Consider the following 20,255-nt stretch of genomic DNA (forward strand, 5'->3'; position numbering starts at 1 on the left):
CCATGGAGCTGTAATAAAAACTCTGGACACCAAGGCTCAGATGAGCTTTTCCAGTTGGTAATACACTGCATATTGTCACACACTGATACTGATAAAAATAATGCTGCCCATAACTCCTTAAGAAAGGACAACTAGAAGCTCTATATTTGCAACTTTTCTTGACTCTGCCTTATGCATATCTTCTCTTGAATGATTTTAATCTGTATCCCTTTGCTGTAATAATTCATAACCATGGATATAACAGCTTTCGGTAAGTTCTGTGAGTCCTTAAACATTGCACCTGAGTGTGGTTTTAAGAACTGTGTTGCCTCAAACTCTGCAGTACCCTAGTCTCCTAGCCAAGAAAAGGAAAAATATCTTCTTTTAGCTTCCCCTGCCTTCTTATTAAAATTTCCAGGGTTTCTCAATGCCAAACTTTGATTCCATGTTCTTCCAAATCCCACCAAAGGCAAACTCTCAAATACTATGAAGACCAAAGGGGAAAGTCCATGCCCTTATATCGACCATTAATATCCATGAGGTCCTAATGTTGAGGTCACAATATAGTTATGCCGAGAAACTGATAGACAAGTGATCACCAAAGGGAATCTTGGGGATATTATTCTCAGCATTACATAACAGAATCAGATATAACCAGATCTAGTGTCTCTCTCTTTTTCTCTCTCTATTTCCTTTCCTTCCTCTCTCCCTCCCCCTTTCTTTTCATTTCTGCCTTCCTCCCTTTCTCCCTCTGTTTTTCTTGCAGTCAATAAGTCTTTTAAATAAACTAATTAATAGATGCAAACTCAATTGTTTGTCTATCCTAAACATTTCAAAAATGTTTACTGTTTGAAATCTTTGTTAATTGGAGAATGGTTGAGTAAAATATGATGTATCCACAATGGAATGCTACTCAGCCATTAAAATATTTGTGGTGTTTTAATAATATAAAAATTATTTAATTTACTATAAAAATACAGGATTGAAATATATACAGTGCGTCAACTAATGTTTACGTACATCTATGTAATACAAATGAAAATGAATGAAATAATAAAAAATTAATTATTTCTTGTGGGATTATAAATAATTCCCTTTGCTATATTTTTATATTATCCACATTTTTAGCTTTTGTCACTTTTAGAGATAAAAATAATGTGATTTTACAAAGTACAAAGTTTACTGATGATCATAAGGGAGACAGTACCTCTTAGTGCCACAAACTCTCCTCCCTTCAAGAGAAACATCTCATACTGTGATATGTGGTGGTCAGCCATTTATGTGTCTTCTTTTTAGGGGTCAGAAGCCACTGCCTTTTTTCACTGCTGAATTCTCATCACCTCAAACAGAGCATAGTATAGAATCAGCATTTCCTCAGTAAATGTCTGCTGAATGGCAGTTACAGTGGTAAAGAATGGCAACTTAGTTTGCAAAGGACAATACATAGGGTTTCTCTTTTATCTACAGTGACACTTCTCCAAGAACCTCTCTACTGCTCTGCTGGCCTGAATAGATCCAAGATGACTACTTGTCAATCTATTTAGTGAGAGATGATGCATTGCACAAAAGAGAAATATACAGCTTTTTACCACACAACTTAGTGCAGGCCAAATTCCTTCCTTCTGTTCAAAGCATTGTGTCTCTCTGGACTGCCCAGTTACCTTCTTCCCCATTACCCAATTAACAATGTGTTAAACACCATTCCTCTAATGGCTTTAACCTCAATCACTTACTGCCTCGTGGCTTTCAAATCCTTCCACTTACACGAATGCCAAGTCCTATTGCTCTATTTCTTAGAACAACTCAAGCAGAACAGAATTGGTTTACTGCTATGGAAGCCAATTCTCAATATTTCCTATGACCCCTTGTGGATCCTGGCCCAGACAGTGACGTCACACATATACAATGTTGCTCATTTGCAAAGCCCTCTGGTACCCCCCAAAAATCTGTCCATCTTCCAAAGCACTATTCAGCCATGTGTTCAAAACAGGCACTATTTTCTAGGGGCCTGAGAAATTCTCCAGCAAACTCTCAGCTGTTATCAGTTCTCCCTTCTCTAGAGAGGCAGCAGAAAGTACAAGGACTGTTTTTGCAGCTTTACTTGAAGAATCTGGCAGTACACTAGGGATATAACGAAATGGCAGTTAATCATTCAACTTTCCCTGAATGACTGCTGTGTGAAAAGTCAATTTTAGGTACTTTAGAGGGGACATGAAGAAAATATGGAAAGCTTTTTTGTCCATACTTCTCAGAATCTGACCATCTAATTATTGTCCAAACACATAAATGCAAGACAAAAGTTTACTGACCCTCTCAAAGAGCTGAAAAATATATAATTACAAAGTCAACTGAACAATATTTTATGAGCCAATGAGAAAGAAGAATAAGCATGGAACTAATTAAGACAGGTTTCTTGGAGATATGACTCCATGGACAGAGGTTGAGAAGGGAAGGGATACGGTATGATGGTATGATAGTTAATAGTATGTGACTTGATACGTATTGATCAGGTAGGAAAAAAACGTTGAATTGAAAATATTACTGCCCAGAGAGATCTCATGGAGTGGCATAGGTAGAGACAGGGCCCAGCATCAAACAGCAGCAATTCTAGAGATTTTCTAGAACTTAAAGCTCAACAGTAAGGCCTAAACAAGATTGCATGAGATAACTACACCACCCCCAAGGCTAAAAGAAAACCTACTATACTGGCCAATATCCTAAAGGTTTACTGAAAGCCATTATCCTCTGTAATTGCTAATCTGAACGTGCCCTTGCATATCTCAGCCCACATGGGTCTTAACTGTATCTACTTCTCATGCCTCTGACTCCTCACGGACCAATCTATGTTTTGCTTGCCAATATGCTGCTACTATTATTACTAATCATAATACTGCCAGCTCCAAGATAAAGAAGTTTACACTAACGTTTTCATTGACTCTTCACAACAACATTTTGAGGCCCCCATTACACAACTGGCTTAAAGTCACACAGCTAGAGGTACAAGGACTGGAACTTGAATCTAAGTCTTTCTGACATCAAAGTTCATTCTGTTATCCATTATTCTATAGGCTTTTAATATGTACATCGAGGAAACATTATTTCAATATCTTGCTATTTCTCCTTTTAGAAATCATATAAAATAAAAATGAAACAAAAAAAATTCCAAACTCCATTTTCAGACAAACTGGCATGGCAGAGACTGCAATGTGTTCACCAAAATCTGTTTCCTTTCCTTTAATAAAACAAGCTCCACTATATTTCTAAGACACTTACTTGCAGTGTGATAGTCTGGACATTGAAATGTGGGTAGAATTAACATGAACTACTTCTAGCCCTGAACCACAAAATCCTCCCATGTATCCTCCATTCTTTCTTCCCATAATTGCCAGCAGAGGCCAGATGATCTGTTAGAAGACTCAGAGGCCCTTGTAGATGGATGGAAAAGCCACATGATAGAATGGATATACTTAGCTAATTCCCTTCCATAGCTAACGATTCTACTAACATCATGAGTGGCACTAAGCATTGTACCAATGAACACATAAACCATACACACATACACACACACACACACACACACACACACACACACAGACACACATGGGTGTGGCCATGTGCATTGAATAATTGTACCAATATGCCTCTTAATATATGTTTAGGTATCTACGAATAAAAATTTGCAAACAACACTGTGTCATTTGAGCTGGGACAGACAGTTTGTTTGGTTAGAAACCAATATTAACAAAGCTAATGTAGAAGGTTGACATATACAGAGAAAAACTGTTTAAGCAGCTATAGCTGCTGCTCTAGCTCAGGCCACTGACTAAGTCCTAACCTCAGTTCAGTGAGTCACCACACTAAGGGAGACTTTGGCTTAAGTAAGATTATGAGGATGGCTCAGTACAAATCCACCCTGACTACTGAAGAAAAACTAAAAGAAGACAGCTATTGGGTCCAAAGTATGTCATTTTTTTAATACAAAGGACAGTTGGCCCATTCTTTTCTTCGTTCAGCAAAATGTAAACATCCCACATCTCTCCTTACTTCTAGAAGCTCAATCTGTTCTCTCTGCTCGTAAAGACCTTGGCTCTTGGGATTAGCACAGCTTTAAGGCTACTGAGTTGGTTTATGTCTGTTTTATTTCCCCTGGAACCATGCAGAATGTACACACAGAACACAATCCTGATCGCTGAGCTTTTATTTTACTTTTATAATCAATGCCACAGGAAGTGCATGGATTTATCATTTCTAAAGCTTTAAAAATTATTATACAATCTATTGGTAATGTTGCTGCCAGCCTGCCCAACAAGTTCTAGACCTGGGCAAGACTATGAAAATAAAAGAATTGAAGACATGACTACTGGGTCTATATGCAACAGTCCTCTAGTATCTTTCTGGAAAAAAAAAAAAGATAAAAACCTGACAGAAGCCCCCATAATCAAAGTTTTCAGTGCCAGCTCATTTGATTTTCACAGCCAATTATGAGGTATTGAGGGCAGAATTTAATTGTCTTCATTTCAGAGAACAGAATAAAAAAATAGAGAGAGGAAGTGACTTGTCCAAGGCCACACAGCTGCTTGTTGATAGGGCTGCCAAGACTCTGTACTGGATCTTATGATTCTCATGTTTCTCATTTCAGCATACATTTTCTTGGTCTGTTTGGAGCAGTTGCCCAGATAAGATGGGCTCTCATTTGAAATTAGTCAGCTGTATTGACTTGTTCTCGGGATGAATGCATCCTTAAGGATGACCAGGTTCTTGTTTATGTTAAGATTCTTGGAGAGAGTCTGAGTCAGACAACTTGCCTTTTTCACCCCTACATGTTCATTTCCTTATTTCTCCTTTCTTCCCTTTTGTTGTTCCTTGGTTAGCAAATAAACAAGTCAATTTACTTTCCCCTCATTTTGTCTCCCATCACCTTTAGCTATCTGCTTCAGTGTTCCGGCTTCCAGGAACATTGTGTAATCTCTCTCTGATACATGGTTAAGTCTTTCTTCCTGCTCACATCTATTTTCTTCATCATTTCTTAAAGAAACCCATTCCAATTTATCACCTTCTGCTTACACCAGTGAAAGCCACCAACCCTACACCTAGATTCCACTCTTTCTTCAGCATCTAGAGATTTTTGTGTCTACAAGCTTTGAAATTTGTTGATCCAAAGGTTTTCAACTAACTTTTTCTTAGAATTCTTTCCTAAATTCCTATATGGAAGAGATTATATCTAATTTCCATTGCAAATGGCTTGCAAGCCAGACAGGAAACAGTCCAGTTGTAAAACCAAAGAGTAAAAAGGGCAGATCTTCAGAAGTGGGAAGGAGGCCAATATGTCAGCAAAACTGGAAAACAAAATACTATCCTTCACCTATCCCCTCTCCCCCAGGAGAAACACAAAAGAAGATTATTGATCTTTACTCTGTTATCTGAAACCTTTAGATAGAAAGGTAATAAAAATAATAATTTATCATAATTGTCAAGTACTTCCCAAGATATACTAGGCCTATGGCTTGTTAAAATAGAACCCTACGGCTGAGAGGGGACTTGAAGTGTGACCCTTGTCCATCTCCTGATCTTTACACAATTTGTTCCTATATATTTTAGGATTATTTGCCCATTTTCAAAGATACACAGAAAGGGCCATTATGCAACTTTTCTCTGGGGTTGTCTGCAATTGAGCAAAGACATCAAAGTTGACTTAAATCATATCAGCTATGTAGACATAAATCCTAAATATAAATCTTATCCAGACTGGTGAAAACTAATTTTAGAAATACAATATGTTTATTTGTTGAGTTACAGGCTCAGTTATAGGACCCAGAAATAATGAAGAGAAGCAAAACATATCTTTGATCTTAGGGGCTCAGAATCTACTTGGGTATATCCATACTAACATTGTGATAGGCATTGCCATAGTGATTTGCATAAACTTCTGTGGGAGCAAAAAGGAAAGAAGAATCAAATATGGAAAACAGAGTTGGGAAAGAATTTATGGCTGGATTTTGATGGTTCACCAGGTAAAGTGGAAGAAGACGCACCATGGTTCAGAGGAACCAGAATGTGGTGTGTTTGAGGAAAAAGCACACCTATGTGTATGTAATCCTATTTTATGAGCTATTTCAGTGGCAGAGATGAAGTTTGAATATGATGCTAGGGGCAATATTATGGAAAGCCTTGTATTCTATGATGAGGATGTAGGATTATATACTATAGGTAGGGTTGTGAGCAGACAATTATATGGCAATATTTGCAATTTAGTAAAAAATCACTATGACTTCCAGACGGAGGAAAGGCTAAGGGAAAGAGATTAAAGGATGTGTCAGCAGAGCCCAAGTTGTCAAGTACCTGCACAGAGCTATCCAGTTGCTGAGACAAACTAAGAGTGCTGAAGAGTGGAGTTTAATACTGATGAGAATAAGAGGCAGGGAAAAATAACAACACATAAAAGAGAAACAAAATATGAAAGAAAGAAGAAAAAGAGAAAAGAATGTGAATGTTAAACATAATTGTTTATTATGTAACAGGTACAGCACTAAATATTTTATGCACATTATCTCAATTTTAAAATTTGTTTTTAAATTTTTTATTTTTAATTTTTGTGGGTACATAGTAGGTGTATATGAGGTGCATGGCATATTTTGGTATAGGCATGCAATGTATAATAATTACAACATAGAAAATGGGTTATCCATCTCCTCATGCATTTATCCTCAGTGTTACAAACCATTTAGTTATAATATTTTCATTATTTTAAAATGTACAGTTAAATTATTTTTACTAGAGTCACCTGTTATGCTGTCAAGTACTAGGTATTATTCATTCTATTTTTTGAACCCATTAAACATCCCCACCTTCTCTCAACCCACCCCCCACCCACTACCCTTCCCAACTTCTAGTAACCGTCCTTCTGCTCTCTATCTCCATGCGTTCAATTGTTTGGATTTTTACATCCCACACATAAGTGAGAACATGCAATTTTTCTTTCTGCACGTGGCTTATTTCACTTAATATAATGGCCTCCAATTCCAACCATGTTGTTGCAAATAAAAGAATCCTATTCCTTTTTAGGGCTGAATGGTACTCCATTGCATCTAAGTATCACATTTTTCTTTACTCATTCATCTGTTGATGGAAACTTAGGTTGCTTTCCAATCTTGGCTATTGTGAACAGTGCTGCAGCAATCATGGGAGAGAAATATCTCTTCGATATACTGATTTCTCTTTTTTAGGGTATGTACCCAGCAGTGGGATTGCTGGATTTGCTCTATTTTTATTTGTTTGAGGAACCTCCAAACTGTTCTCCATAGTGGTTGTACTAATTTACATTCCCACCAACAGTTTATGAGGGTTCTCTCTGCATATCCTCGCCAGCATTTTTTACTGCCTGTCTTTTGGATAAAAGCCATTTTAACTAGGGTGGGATGATATCTAATTGCAGTTCTGGATTGCAGCTGTCTGATGATCAATGATGTTGAGTACTTATTCGTATGCCTGTATGCCATTTGTTTACCTTCTTTTGAGAAATGTCTATTCAAATCTTTTGCCCAGTTTTTTGATCAAATTATTAGATTTTTTTCCTATAGAGTTGTTTGAACTCCTTATACATTCTGTCAGATGAATAGTTTGAAAATATTTTCTCCCATTCTGTGGGTTGTCTCTTCACTTTGTGGATTATATCCTTTGCTGTGCAGGAGGTTTTTAACTTGATGTGATCCCATTTGTCCATTTTTGCTTTGGTTTCCTGAGCTTGTGGGGTATTGATCAAATGTTTGCCCAGACAAATGTCCTGGAGATTTTCCCCAATGTTTTCTTGTAGTAGTTTCATAGTTTGAGGTCTTAGATTTAGGTATTTAATCCATTTTGATTTGATTTTTGTATAGGGGTCTAGTTTTATTCTTCTGCATATGGGGTATCCAGTTTTCCCAGCACCATTTATTGAAGAGACTGTCCTTTCCCCAGTGTATGTGTTCTTGGCACCTTTGTCAAAAATGAGTTCACTAAAGGTGTGTGGATTTTCTTCTAGGTTCTCTATTTTGTTTTATTGGTCGATGTGTCTGTTTTTATGACATTACCATGCTGTTTTGGTTACTATAACTCTGTAAGTATAATTTGAAGTCAGGGAATATGATTCCTCCAGTTTTGTTCTTTTTGCTCAGGATAGCTTTGGCTATTCTGGGTCTTTTGTGGTTCTCTGTAAGTATAATTTGAAGTCAGGGAATATGATTCCTCCAGTTTTGTTCTTTTTGCTCAGGATAGCTTTGGCTATTCTGGGTCTTTTGCGGTTCCATATAAATTTTAGGATAATTTTTTCTATTTCTATAAAGAATGTCTTTGGTATTTTGATAGGGATTGCATTGAATCTGTAGATTGCTTTGGGTCATATGGACATTTTAACAATATTGATTCTACCAATCCATAAACATGCAATATCTTTCCATGTTTTGGTGTCCTCTTCAATTTATTTCATAAGTGTTTCATAGTATTCATTGTAGAGATCTTTTACTTCCTTGGTTAAGGTAATTCCTAGGTATTTAATTTTATTTGTGGCTATTGTAAATGAGATTACTTTATTCCTTTTTCATATTGTACACTGTTGTCATATAGAAATGCTACTAATTTTTACGTTGATTTTGTATCCTGAAACTGAACTGAATTGATCAGTTTTAATAGTTTTTTGGTGGAGTCTTTAGGTTTCTCCAAATAAAAAATTATATCATCAGCAAACAAAGATAGTTTGACTTCTTCCTTTCCAATTTGGATGTCCTTTGTTTCTTTCTCTTGTCTGATTGCTCTAGCTAGAACTTCCAGTACAATGTTGAATAACAGTGATGAAAGTGAGCATCCTTGTCTTGTTCCACATCTTAGAAAAAAAGGCTTTCAGCATTTCCCTATTTAGTATGATACTAGCTATGGTTCTGTCATGTATGTTAATTTGTTGAGGGATGTTCCTTCTATGACCAGTTTTTAAAGATATTTTTCATGAAGAGATGTTAAATTTTATCAATGCTTTTTCAACATCATTTGAAACGATCATATGGTTTTTGTCCTTCATTCTGTTGATATGATGTAGCACATTGATTGTTTTGGGTATGTTGAAACATCCTCGCATCCTTGGGGTAATTTCCGCTTCATCATGATGAATTATCTTTTTAATGTGTTGTTCAAATCAGTTTGCTAGTATTCTGTTGAGGATTTTTGAATCAATATTCATGAGAGATATTGGTCTGTGGCTTTTCTTTTCTTTCTTTCCTTCTGCGTTTTTGTCTGGTTTTGGTATCAGGATGATATTGGCCTCATAAAATGAGTTTAGAAATATTCTCTCTTTCACTATCTTTTGGAATAGTTTGGATAGGATTGGTATTCTTCTTTAAATATCTCATAGAATCCAGCAGTGAAGCCATGGGCTCCCAGGCTTTTCTTTGCTGAAAGACATTTTATTATGGCTTCGATCTCATTACCTATTATTGGTCTGTTTAGGTTTTGGATTTCTTCCTTGTTCAAGCTTGGTAGGTTGTACATGTCTAGGAATTTGTCCATTTCTTCTAGATTGTCCATTTTATTGGCATATAGTTGCTCATAGTAGCCACTAATGATCCTTTGAATTTCTGTTGTATCAGTTGTAATATCTCCTTTTTCATCTCTGATTTTATTTATTTGTGTCTTCTCACTTTTATTTTCATTAGTCTGGCTAAAGTTTTGTCAATTTTGTCTTTTCAAAAAACCAACTTTTTGTTTCATTGATCTTTTGTGTTGTTTTCACCATTTCAAATTCATTTATTGCTGTTCTGATTGCGACTATTTATTTTTTTCTGCTAACTTTGAGTTTGGTTTCCTCTTGCTTTTCTAGTTCTTTAACATGTATCACTATGTTATCTATTTGAAGTTTTTCTTCTTTTTGCATGTAGGCACTTATAGCGAAAAATTTCCCTCTTAGTACTGATTTCACTGAATCACAGAGGTTTTGGTATGTTGTGTTTCCATTATAATTTCTTCTAAAAAGTTTGACAATTTTCTTCTGATTTTTTTGACTCACTTATCATTCAGAAGCATATTGTTTAATTTTTATGTATTTGTATAATTTCCAAAATTCTTCCTGATGCTGATTTCTAGTTTTATTCCATTATGGTCAAAGAAGATGCTTAATACGCTTTCAATTTTTTTAAATATTTTAAGACTTGTTTTGTGACCTAACATATGGTATATCATTGATAATGATCCGCATGCTGAGAAGAATGTGTATTGCACAGTCTTTGGATGAAATGTTCTGTAAATATCTATTAGGTTCATTTGTTCTATAGTGCAGATTATGTTTGATGTTTCTTTGTTGTGTTTTTATCTGGGAGATATATCCAATGCTGAAAGTAGGGTGCTGAAGTCTCCAGCTATTATTGTATGGAGGTCTATATCTCCTCTTTAGCTCTAATAATATTTGCTTTATATATATGTGTGCTCCAGTGTTGGGTGATTATATATTTACAATCATTATATCATGTTGCTGGATTGACCCCTTTGTCATTACATATAAATATAAATATATTTATATTATATATAAATGGCCTTCTTTGTCTCTTCTAACAGTTTTTCTCTTGAAATCTATTGTGTCTGATATAAGTAGAGCTACTTCTGCTCTTTTTTGGTTTCCATTGTCATGGAATACTTTATTCCAGTCCTTTATTTTCAGTCTATGCATATGTTTATAGGTGAAGTGTGTTTCTTGCAGGCAGGAGATCATGGGGCCCTGTTTCTTCATCCATTCAGCCACTCTATGTCTTTGATGGGGGAGTTTAGTCTATTTATATCAAATGTTATTATCGATAAGTAGCAACTTACTCCTGCCATTTTGTTATTTGTTTTCTGGTTGTTTTGTGGTCTTCTCTTCCATTTTTTTCTTCCTTCCTGTCTTCATTTTAGTGAAGTTGATTTTCTCTGGGGGTATGATGTAATTTCTTGCTTTTTGTTTTTTTTATGTATCTATTGCATGGTTTTTGATTTGAAGTTACCGTGAAGCTTGCAAATACTATCTTATAAGCCATTATTCTAAACAGATGACAACTTAACATTGATTGTAGACACAAACAAACAAACACATACACACAAAGAAAACTAATAACAACTCTGAACTTTAACTCCATCTCCATCCACTCATTTTTAAATTTTTTTTTGTTTCTCTTTATGTCTTATAGTACTATCTGTGTCGTGAACTGTTCTTGTAGTTATTATTTTTTATCAGTTCAGCATTTAGTCTTTCTACTTAAGCATAGTTTACACACCAAAATTACAGTGTTACAATATTCTGGGTTTTTTTTGTGTACTTATTATTACCAGTGAGTTTTGTACCTTCAGATGATTTTTTTCTTGCTCATTAACATCCTCTTCTTTCAAATTGAAGAACTCCCTTTAGCATTTGTTTAGAACAAGTCTGATGTTGATAAAATCCCTCAGCTTTTGTTTCTCTGGGAAGGTCTTTATTTGTCCTTTATGCCTGCAGGATATTTTTGCTGGATGTACTATTCTGGGGTAAAAGATTTTTTCCTTCAGCACCTTAAATATATCATGCCACTCTCTCCTGGCCTGTAAGGCTTCCACTGAAAAGTCTGCTGCCAGATGTATTGGAGCTCCATTGTATGTTATTTGTTTCTTTTCTCTTGGTGCTTTTAGGATCCTTTCATTACCCTTGACCTTTGGGAGTTTGATTATTAGGTGCCTTGTGGTAGTCTTCCTTGGGTTAAATCTGCTTGGTGTTCTAAACATTCCTGTACTTGAATATTGATATCTTTCTCTAGGTTTGGGAAGTTCTCTGATATTATCTCTTTGGATAAACTTTTTACCCTTATCTCTTTCTCTACCTCTTCTTTAAGGCCAATAACTCTTAGATTTGCCCTTTTGAGCCTTTTTTTTTCTAGAGCTTGCAGGCATGATTCATTGTTTTTTATTCTTTTTTTATTTTGTCTCCTCCGATTGTGTAATTTCAGCCTGTCTTCAAGCTCACTATTTCTAGTGATAGACAAATTCTGCTATTAAGTGACTCTGATGCATTCTTCAGTATGTCAATTGCATTTTCCAACTCCAGAATTTCTGCTCTACTCTTTAGTTATTTCAACTTCTGGGTTACAATTCTCTGAAAGAATTCTTAATTCCTTCTTTGTGATATCTTTAATTTCTTTGAATTTCCTCAAAATAGCAATTTTGAATCATCTGTTTGAAAGGTCACATGTCTCTGTTTCTCCATGATTGGTCCCCAATGCCTTATTTAGTTCATTTGGTGAGGTCATGTTTTCTTGGATGATCTTGATACTTGTGCATGTTTGTTGGTGTCTGGGTATTGAATAGTTAGGTATTTATTGTAGTCTTTGCAGTTTGGGCTTGTTTATGCCCATCCTTCTTGGAAGGTGTTCTAGGAATTTGAATGGACTTGGTCCCCAAGCCCAATATTGTTGTGGTTTTTGCAGATTCATAGAGGTACCATCTTGGTGGTGTTGGTTAAGATCTGGAAGAATTCTCTAGATTACAAGGCAGAGACTCTTGTTCTTTACCCTTATTTTCTCCCAAATCAACAGTTTATTTGTGCTGAGTTGCCTGGAACTGGGGGTTTGATTATGCATGAACCCCTCTGGCCACTCCTAGAGCTGGGTCAGACCTGAAGCCAGCACATCACTGCGTCTTGTCCAAGGCCTGCTGTAACCACTACTGGCTAACAACTATTATTACTCAAGGCTCTAGGGCTCTACAATCTACTGATAGCAAATCCAGCAAGGTTTGTGTTCTTCTCTTCAGGGTGGAGAGCTCCCCCGGGCCCCAGGTGGGTCCTGAGATGCTTTCTGGGAGCCAGAGATTGGAATCAAAGACCTTAGAAATTTGCCTGATATTCTATTCTACTGTGGATATGCTGGCATTCAAATCACAATATAAAGTTCTTCCCACTCTTTCCTCTTCTTTCCAAAGGCAAAGGAGCCCCTCCCTGTGGACATCACCACCACCCCACCAGGAGTGTTCTGCCAGGCCACTGTTGGTGTTCACTTAAGAACTAAGGGCTTCTCAGTCAGTTTGTGGTGAATGCTGCCAGGCCTGGGAATCACTCTTCAGGACAGTGGGCTCCCCTGTGGCTCAAGGCAGGTCTAGAAATGCTGCCTGAGAGCCTAGGCCTAGTTTTGGGGACCCCAAGTGCCTGCTTGTTGCTCCACCCTACTGTGGGCACGTTGGTACCTAAGGTACAAAGCAAAGTCCAATTTACTTTTCCTCTGCTTTTTTCAAACAGACAGAGTCTTTCACCATCACCATCACAGCTGAGAATGTGCTGGATCACATCTGAAGTAAGCAAATCTCAGAGCCCAAGGGTCACAGTATACTACCTGGGTATTGCTGCTGGTTACTCAGGGCCCAAGGGCTCTTTCGTCAGTAGGTGATTGATCCTGCCAGGACTGGCTTCTTTGATTCAAGGTAATGAGATCCATTTTGGACCAGAGTGTATCTAGAAATGTCATCCAGGAGCTAGGGCCTAGACTGGGGGCCTCATGATTCTGCCTGGTGCCTAATCCTACTGTGGCTGAGCTGTGTTTTTCATGATACAAGGTGAAGTCCTCTATACTCTTTGTTCTCCTCTCCTTAAGCAGAAGGAAGGAGATACTGTTATTGCTATGAGCTGCGTTGCCTGGGGCTGGGGGAGTGGTAGGACAAGCACATCTTTAGCTATCTTGGTTGGTGTCTCCTTAGGTCATGAGCCACCCTAGTCCTCTCCTTCTGAGCCCTGTCCTGCACTAGGAGCTGTCCAGGAATTGCACTCTTTGTGTCCTAGACTGCCTTTCAAGTTTACCTACCACCCCAGAGTACTTTGGCCCGTGATGGTGAGGATTGCTGAGAAACTTTATGGGATAGGTAATTCCCCACTAGATAGGATGGTCCAAATACTCCCTCCATGTTTGGATGCTGGCTGAGCCCAGGGTGACTTTGCTCTCCACTGTGACAAGGTAGCACTGAATTCAATATAATGTCCCCCAGTCACTGTGCTCTCCCTCCCCTAAGTGCACAGATACTTTTCACTGCAAGGCTGCTGCTGGGGGATGAGGGAGGGGTGTCATTAGTGATTCAAGACTGTTTCTCTAACCTTTCTCAATGCCACTTTTGGCGATATGAAGTTAAAAGCAGATACTGTGATTGCTCACCTGATTTTTAGATATTGTGATGGCGCTTTTCTCTCCCCTTCAGGGAGTACAAATGGTGTAGGCTTCTATTCTGCTATCTTGCTCTGCCCTTGCATTATCTCATTTAATCTTTTCAACAACCGGATGAAGTTTGTATGACTGTCCAAGTTCACAGATGAAAAATCTGCAGCAGAAAGAGATTGTGCTGTCCAGGGTCATATAAATGTGAGTGGTGAATGCAGGATTCCAATTTCCATTCTTAACTATTTAGCTTGAGAAAGCAAGAGCAAGAGTGTGAGAAGCAGCACAAAAGGAGAGCAGCAGAATAGAGAAAAAGAAGAGAAACAAAAGCGAAAGTGAAAGAAAAAAATAAAACATAAAGAACAAAATGGTGAAAGGGAGACAGGTTATATTATAGAGGATACTGTAATGCACAAACACTAGAAAAGATTTCACTGCTGAAGGTGCCAAGATGGCTGACTAGAAGCAACTAGTGCATGCCACTTTCACGGACAGGAGATAGGGTGGCCAGTAAACACAAGTTCTTCAATGAGATTTTCCCAGGAGGACATGTTGGGATTCACCAAGTAAGCAATGTGACCCACAGAGAGCAGAGAAGAGTGAGGCAAGACAGTTGCCCACCTGGGATTGTCACAGAGGCAAGAGAGGCTCCCCGCAGCGGGGAAATGGTGAGTTGAGTCAGTGAGAACCCCAGGAGACCTACACTTTTGCCATGGCTTGTTTCAATCCTGGGCACAGGAGAGCCCCCAGTCCCCTCCCCCTGGGGCCTCCAAGCTGACATGGAGAGGTGTATGTAGTGTGGGCAGAGTCACCTCTCAGGCCTACGTGTAGCCCTAAGGGTCATGGATCCCTGAGCACCGCAGCACCAGCTGCCATAGCTCAGCCAACAAGGAAAGCCAGGTTCTCTCACATGTCCCCATGGCGCTGAGGAGCAGATGAACCACAAACCTCACTTCCTCACCTCTGTTACTCCTCACCAGGCAAAGCCCACTGGCCTGGAACCCCGGCACAGACACCCCACACCCGCGTGAACACTCAAGCTAGTAGTAGCTCTGCATTTCTCTGGGACAGAGCTCCCAGAGGTAACCAAAAGGCCTGCAGCTTTTGCCACTGCCTCAGCCCCCGCCCCTACTGCCCTCAGGCTGGGGAGGGAGAGAAGAGCCCAAGAACTATCACAGGCCTCCAGTATATCGCAGCTGCCTTGTGGAAAAGCAGCCAGACTGTTTTCCACATGGATCCCTGCCCCTGCTACTCCTTACTGGGCAGGGCCTCCTGATCTGGGCCACCAGCAAAGACACTTTCCCCTCACCTGAGTACTTCAGTCAGTGGCAGCTCTGTGTTTCTCTGGGGATGAAATTCCAGAAACAACACAGGCTCTCTGCCATTGCCACTGCAGTGGTATCACCCTTGCTGCCCTCAGGATGGAGAAAGAATAAAGACCCTGATTACTTTGCTGGCACCCCCAGCATGCCACAACTGCCAAATGGAGAGGAGCCTAGTCTCTCTTCTCTGTGAGACCCCAATCCCCTGATCTTCACCAAGCAGGCCCGCTGACTTGGGCCCACAATGCAACTGCCCCATTACAGGCTGAACATACCCATTGGCAGTGGCTTTGTGTCTCTCTGGTTTGGAGTTCACAGAGGCAAATGACAGCCCATCTGCCACTGTCAATGCAGTGGTATCAGCCATTGCTGCCACCTGGTGGGGGAAGAAACAAAAAGCCTCAGAACTTTACTCACATCTCCAGCATGCCACAGACACCCTATGGAGAAGAGACCAAACTGTCTTCCCTGTGAGCTCCCTGCCCCCACTGCTAATCACCAGGCAGGGCCCCTGGCTTGGGCCCATAATGCAGCCACCCTACACCAAGATAATTTTTCTGATTGGCAGTGGCTCCTCATTTCTATAGGGTGGGGGTCTCAAGGGACAAGTAAGAAGCCCTCTGCCATGGTCACTGCCAAGGTCCTTGCCCTGGCTTTCCCCAAGCTTGAAGGGAACAATAAGCCTGAGTTAGCCCCAGGGCTTCAGTGTGCAGCCTAGGAGTGCCAGGCTGAGATCTGTGGCCAGCACTTGAGTATGAGAGGAGCTCACATTCTCAGGGCAAAGAGAGAGAACATGAGTGGAAACACAAGAAAACGCTGAGGAGCCATGTGGCTAAGAGCCCAACTACAAGCCATTATCCTTCCGCGCCATCTACTGGGTTGCGGCCCAAGCTTCAACACCAAAAATACTTTGCTAATATACCCTCCTGTGAAGACAAGGAGAAAAATTCAGCCACAAATAAAGATCATGTACAAAGCATCGCCCCTCTGAAAACATCCACAAATGAAGCCAACTGATTATACTCAAATTACACCAGAATTAAAGGAACATTAGCCAGCACAGATGAGAAATAACCAGTGCAAGAACACTGGCAACCCTAAAAGCTAAAGTGTCTCCTTATCTCCAAATGACCACATTGACTCCCAGCAATGCTTCTTAACCAGAATGAAATGGCTGAAATCACAGACATAGAATTCAGAATCTACATGGCAATGAAGACCATCAAGATTCAGGAGAAAGTTGAAGTCCATTCCAAGGAATCTAATGAATTCGGTAAAATGATTCAAGAGATGAAAGATGAAATAGCCATTTTTAAGAAAGAGCCAAGGGGAGGAGCCAAGATGGCCGAATAGGAACAGCTCCAGTCTACAGCTCCCAGCGTGAGCGACGCAGAAGACGGGTGATTTCTGCATTTCCATCTGAGGTACCAGGTTCATCTCACTAGGGAGAGTCAGACAGTGGGCGCAGGTCAGTGGCTGCGCGCACCGTGCGCGAGCCGAAGCAGGGCGAGGCATTGCCTCACTCGGGAAGCGCAAGGGGTCAGGGAGTTCCCTTTCCTAGTCAAAGAAAGGGGTGACAGACAGCACCTGGAAAATCGGGTCACTCCCACCTGAATACTGCGCTTTTCCGACGGGCTTAAAAAACGGCGCACCAAGAGATTGTAACCCGCACCTGGCTCGGAGGGTCCTACGCCCACGGAGTCTCGCTGATTGCTAGCACAGCAGTCTGAGATCAAACTGCAAGGCGGCAGCCAGGCTGGGGGAGGGGCGCCTGCCATTGCCCAGGCTTGCTTAGGTAAACAAAGCAGCCAGGAAGCTCGAACTGGGTGGAGCCCACCACAGCTCAAGGAGGCCTGCCTGCCTGCCTCTGTAGGCTCCACCTCTGGGGGCAGGGCACAGACAAACAAAAAGACAGCAGTAACCTCTGCAGACTTAAATGTCGCTGTTTGACAGCTTTGAAGAGAGCAGTGGTTCTCCCAGCACACAGCTGCAGATCTGAGGACCGGCAGACTGCCTCCTCAAGTGGGACACTGAACCCTGACCCCCAAGCAGCCTAACTGGGAGGCACCTCGCAGCAGGGGCAGACTGACACCTCACACGGCCGGGTACTCCAACAGACCTGCAGCTGAGGGTCCTGTCTGTTAGAAGGAAAACTAACAAACAGAAAGGACATCCACACCAAAAACACATCTGTACATCACCATCATCAAAGACCAGACAAAACCACAAAGATGGGGAAAAAACAGAGCAGAAAAACTGGAAACTCTAAAAAGCAGAGCACCTCTCCTCCTCCAAAGGAACACAGTTCCTCACCAGCAACGGAACAAAGCTGGACGGAGAATGACTTTGACGAGCTGTGAGAAGAAGGCTTCAGATGATCAAATTACTCTGAGCTACGGGAGGAAATTCAAAGGCAAAGAAGTTGAAAACTTTGAAAAAAGTTTAGAAGAATGTATAACTAGAATAACCAATACAGAGAAGTGCTTAAAGGAGCTGATGGAGCTGAAAGCCAAGGCTCGAGAACTACGTGAAGAATGCAGAAGCCTCAGGAGCCGATGCGATCAACTGGAAGAAAGGGTAACAGTGATGGAAGATGAAGTGAATGAAATGAAGCGAGAAGGGAAGTTTAGAGAAAAAAGAATAAAAAGAAACGAGCAAAGCCTCCAAGAAATATGGGACTATGTGAAAAAACCAAATCTGCGTCTGATTGGTGTACCTGAAAGTGACGGGGAGAATGGAACCAAGTTGGAAAACACTCTGCAGGATATTATCCAGGAGAACTTCCCCAGTCTAGCAAGGCAGGCCAACATTCAGATTCAGGAAATACAGAGAACACCACAAAGATACTCCTCGAGAAGAGCAACTCCAAGACACATAATTGTCAGATTCACCAAAGTTGAAATGAAGGAAAAAATGTTAAGGGCAGCCAGAGAGAAAGGTCGGGTTACCCACAAAGGGAAGCCAGTCAGACTAACAGCGGATCTCTCGGCAGAAACTCTACAAGCCAGAAGAGAGTGGGGGCCAATATTCAACATTCTTAAAGAAAAGAATTTTCAACCCAGAATTTCATATCCAGCCAAACTAAGCTTCATAAGTGAAGGAGAAATAAAATACTTTACAGACAAGCAAATGCTGAGAGATTTTGTCACCACCAGGCCTGCCCTAAAAGAGCTCCTGAAGGAAGTGCTAAACATGGAAAGGAACAACCAGTACCAGCTGCTGCAAAATCATGCCAAAATGTAAAGACCATCGAGACTAGGAAGAAACTGCATCAACTAACGAGCAAAATAACCAGCTAACGTCATAATAACAGGATCAAATTCACACATAACAATATTAACTTTAAATGTAAATGGACTAAATGCTCCAATTAAAAGACACAGACTGGCAAATTGGATAAAGAGTCAAGACCCATCAGTGTGCTGTATTCAGGAAACCCATCTCATGTGCAGAGACACAAATAGGCTCAAAATAAAAGGATGGAGGAAGATCTACCAAGCAAATGGAAAACAAAAAAAGGTAGGGGTTGCAATCCTAGTCTCTGATAAACCAGATTTTAAACCACCAAAGATCAAAAGAGACAAAGAAGGCCATTACATAATGGTAAAGGGATCAATTCAACAAGAAGAGCTAATTATCCTAAATATATATGCACCCAATACAGGAGCACCCAGATTCATGAGGTAAGTCCTGAGTGACCTACAAAGAGACTTAGACTCCCACACAATAATAATGGGAGACTTTAACAGCCCACTGTCAACATTAGACAGATCAATGAGACAGAAAGTCAACAAGGATACCCAGGAATTGAACTCAGCTCTGCACCAAGCGGACCTAATAGACATCTACAGAACTCTCCACCCCAAATCAACAGAATATACATTTTTTTCAGCACCACACCACACCTATTCCAAAATTGACCACATACTTGGAAGTAAAGCTCTCCTCAGCAAATGTAAAAGAACAGAAATTATAACAAACTATCTCTCAGACCACAGTGCAATCAAACTAGAACTCAGGATTAAGAATCTCACTCAAAACCGCTCAACTGCATGGAAACTGAACAACCTGCTCCTGAATGACTACTGAGTACATAACAAAATGAAGGCAGAAATAAAGATCTTCTTTGAAACCAACGAGAACAAAGACACAACATACCAGAATCTCTGGGATGCATTCAAAGCAATGTGTAGAGGGAAATTTATAGTACTAAATGCCCACAGGAGAAAGCAGGAAAGATCCAAAATTGACACCCTAACATCACAATTAAAAGAACTAGAAAAGCAAGAGCAAACACATTCAAAAGCTAGCAGAAGGCAAGAAATAACTAAAAGCAGAGCAGAACTGAAGGAAATAGAGACACAAAAAACCCTCCAAAAAATTAATGAATCCAGGAGCTGGTTTTTTGAAAGGATCAACAAAATTGATAGACCGCTAGCAAGACTAATAAAGAAAAAAAGAGAGAAGAATCAAATAGACACAATAAAAAATGATACAGGGGATATCACCACCGATCCCACAGAAATACAAACTACCATCAGGGAATACTACAAACACCTCTATGCAAATAAACTAGAAAATCTAGAAGAAATGGATAAATTCCTCGACACATACACTCTCCCAAGACTAAACCAGGAAGAAGTTGAATCTCTGAATAGACCAATAACAGGATCTGAAATTGTGGCAATAATCAATAGCTTACCAACCAAAAAGAGTCCAGGACCAGATGGATTCACAGCCGAATTCTACCAGAGGTACAAGGAGGAACTGGTACCATTCCTTCTGAAACTATTCCAATCAA

At 40.0% G+C, this 20,255-nt stretch overlaps 1 long non-coding RNA gene across 1 annotated transcript, besides 2 other annotated features; it reads right to left on the reverse strand.

The window, feature by feature from the left end:
* Positions 1-1,155: 1,155 nt before the first annotated feature.
* LOC107985699 (uncharacterized) lies at positions 1,156-16,736 on the reverse strand. The gene is made up of 3 exons (XR_001755959.1): positions 15,730-16,736; positions 14,133-14,295; positions 1,156-1,319 (listed from the first exon to the last, which is right to left on the reverse strand). It is a non-coding gene; the product is annotated as an uncharacterized LOC107985699 (long non-coding RNA).
* Positions 16,490-17,027: an enhancer, noted in NCBI's record as "H3K27ac-H3K4me1 hESC enhancer chrX:127916341-127916878 (GRCh37/hg19 assembly coordinates)". NCBI's record gives its function as "activates a minimal SCP1, AML or CMV promoter by ChIP-STARR-seq in primed H9 embryonic stem cells {active_cell/tissue: H9 hESC(primed)}" and the evidence as "EXISTENCE:reporter gene assay evidence [ECO:0000049][PMID:30033119]".
* Positions 17,028-17,564: an enhancer, noted in NCBI's record as "NANOG-H3K27ac-H3K4me1 hESC enhancer chrX:127916879-127917415 (GRCh37/hg19 assembly coordinates)". NCBI's record gives its function as "activates a minimal SCP1, AML or CMV promoter by ChIP-STARR-seq in naive H9 embryonic stem cells {active_cell/tissue: H9 hESC(naive)}" and the evidence as "EXISTENCE:reporter gene assay evidence [ECO:0000049][PMID:30033119]".

This window comes from Homo sapiens, chromosome X, assembly GCF_000001405.40.
Source record: "Homo sapiens chromosome X, GRCh38.p14 Primary Assembly".
Taxonomy (NCBI): domain Eukaryota; kingdom Metazoa; phylum Chordata; class Mammalia; order Primates; family Hominidae; genus Homo; species Homo sapiens.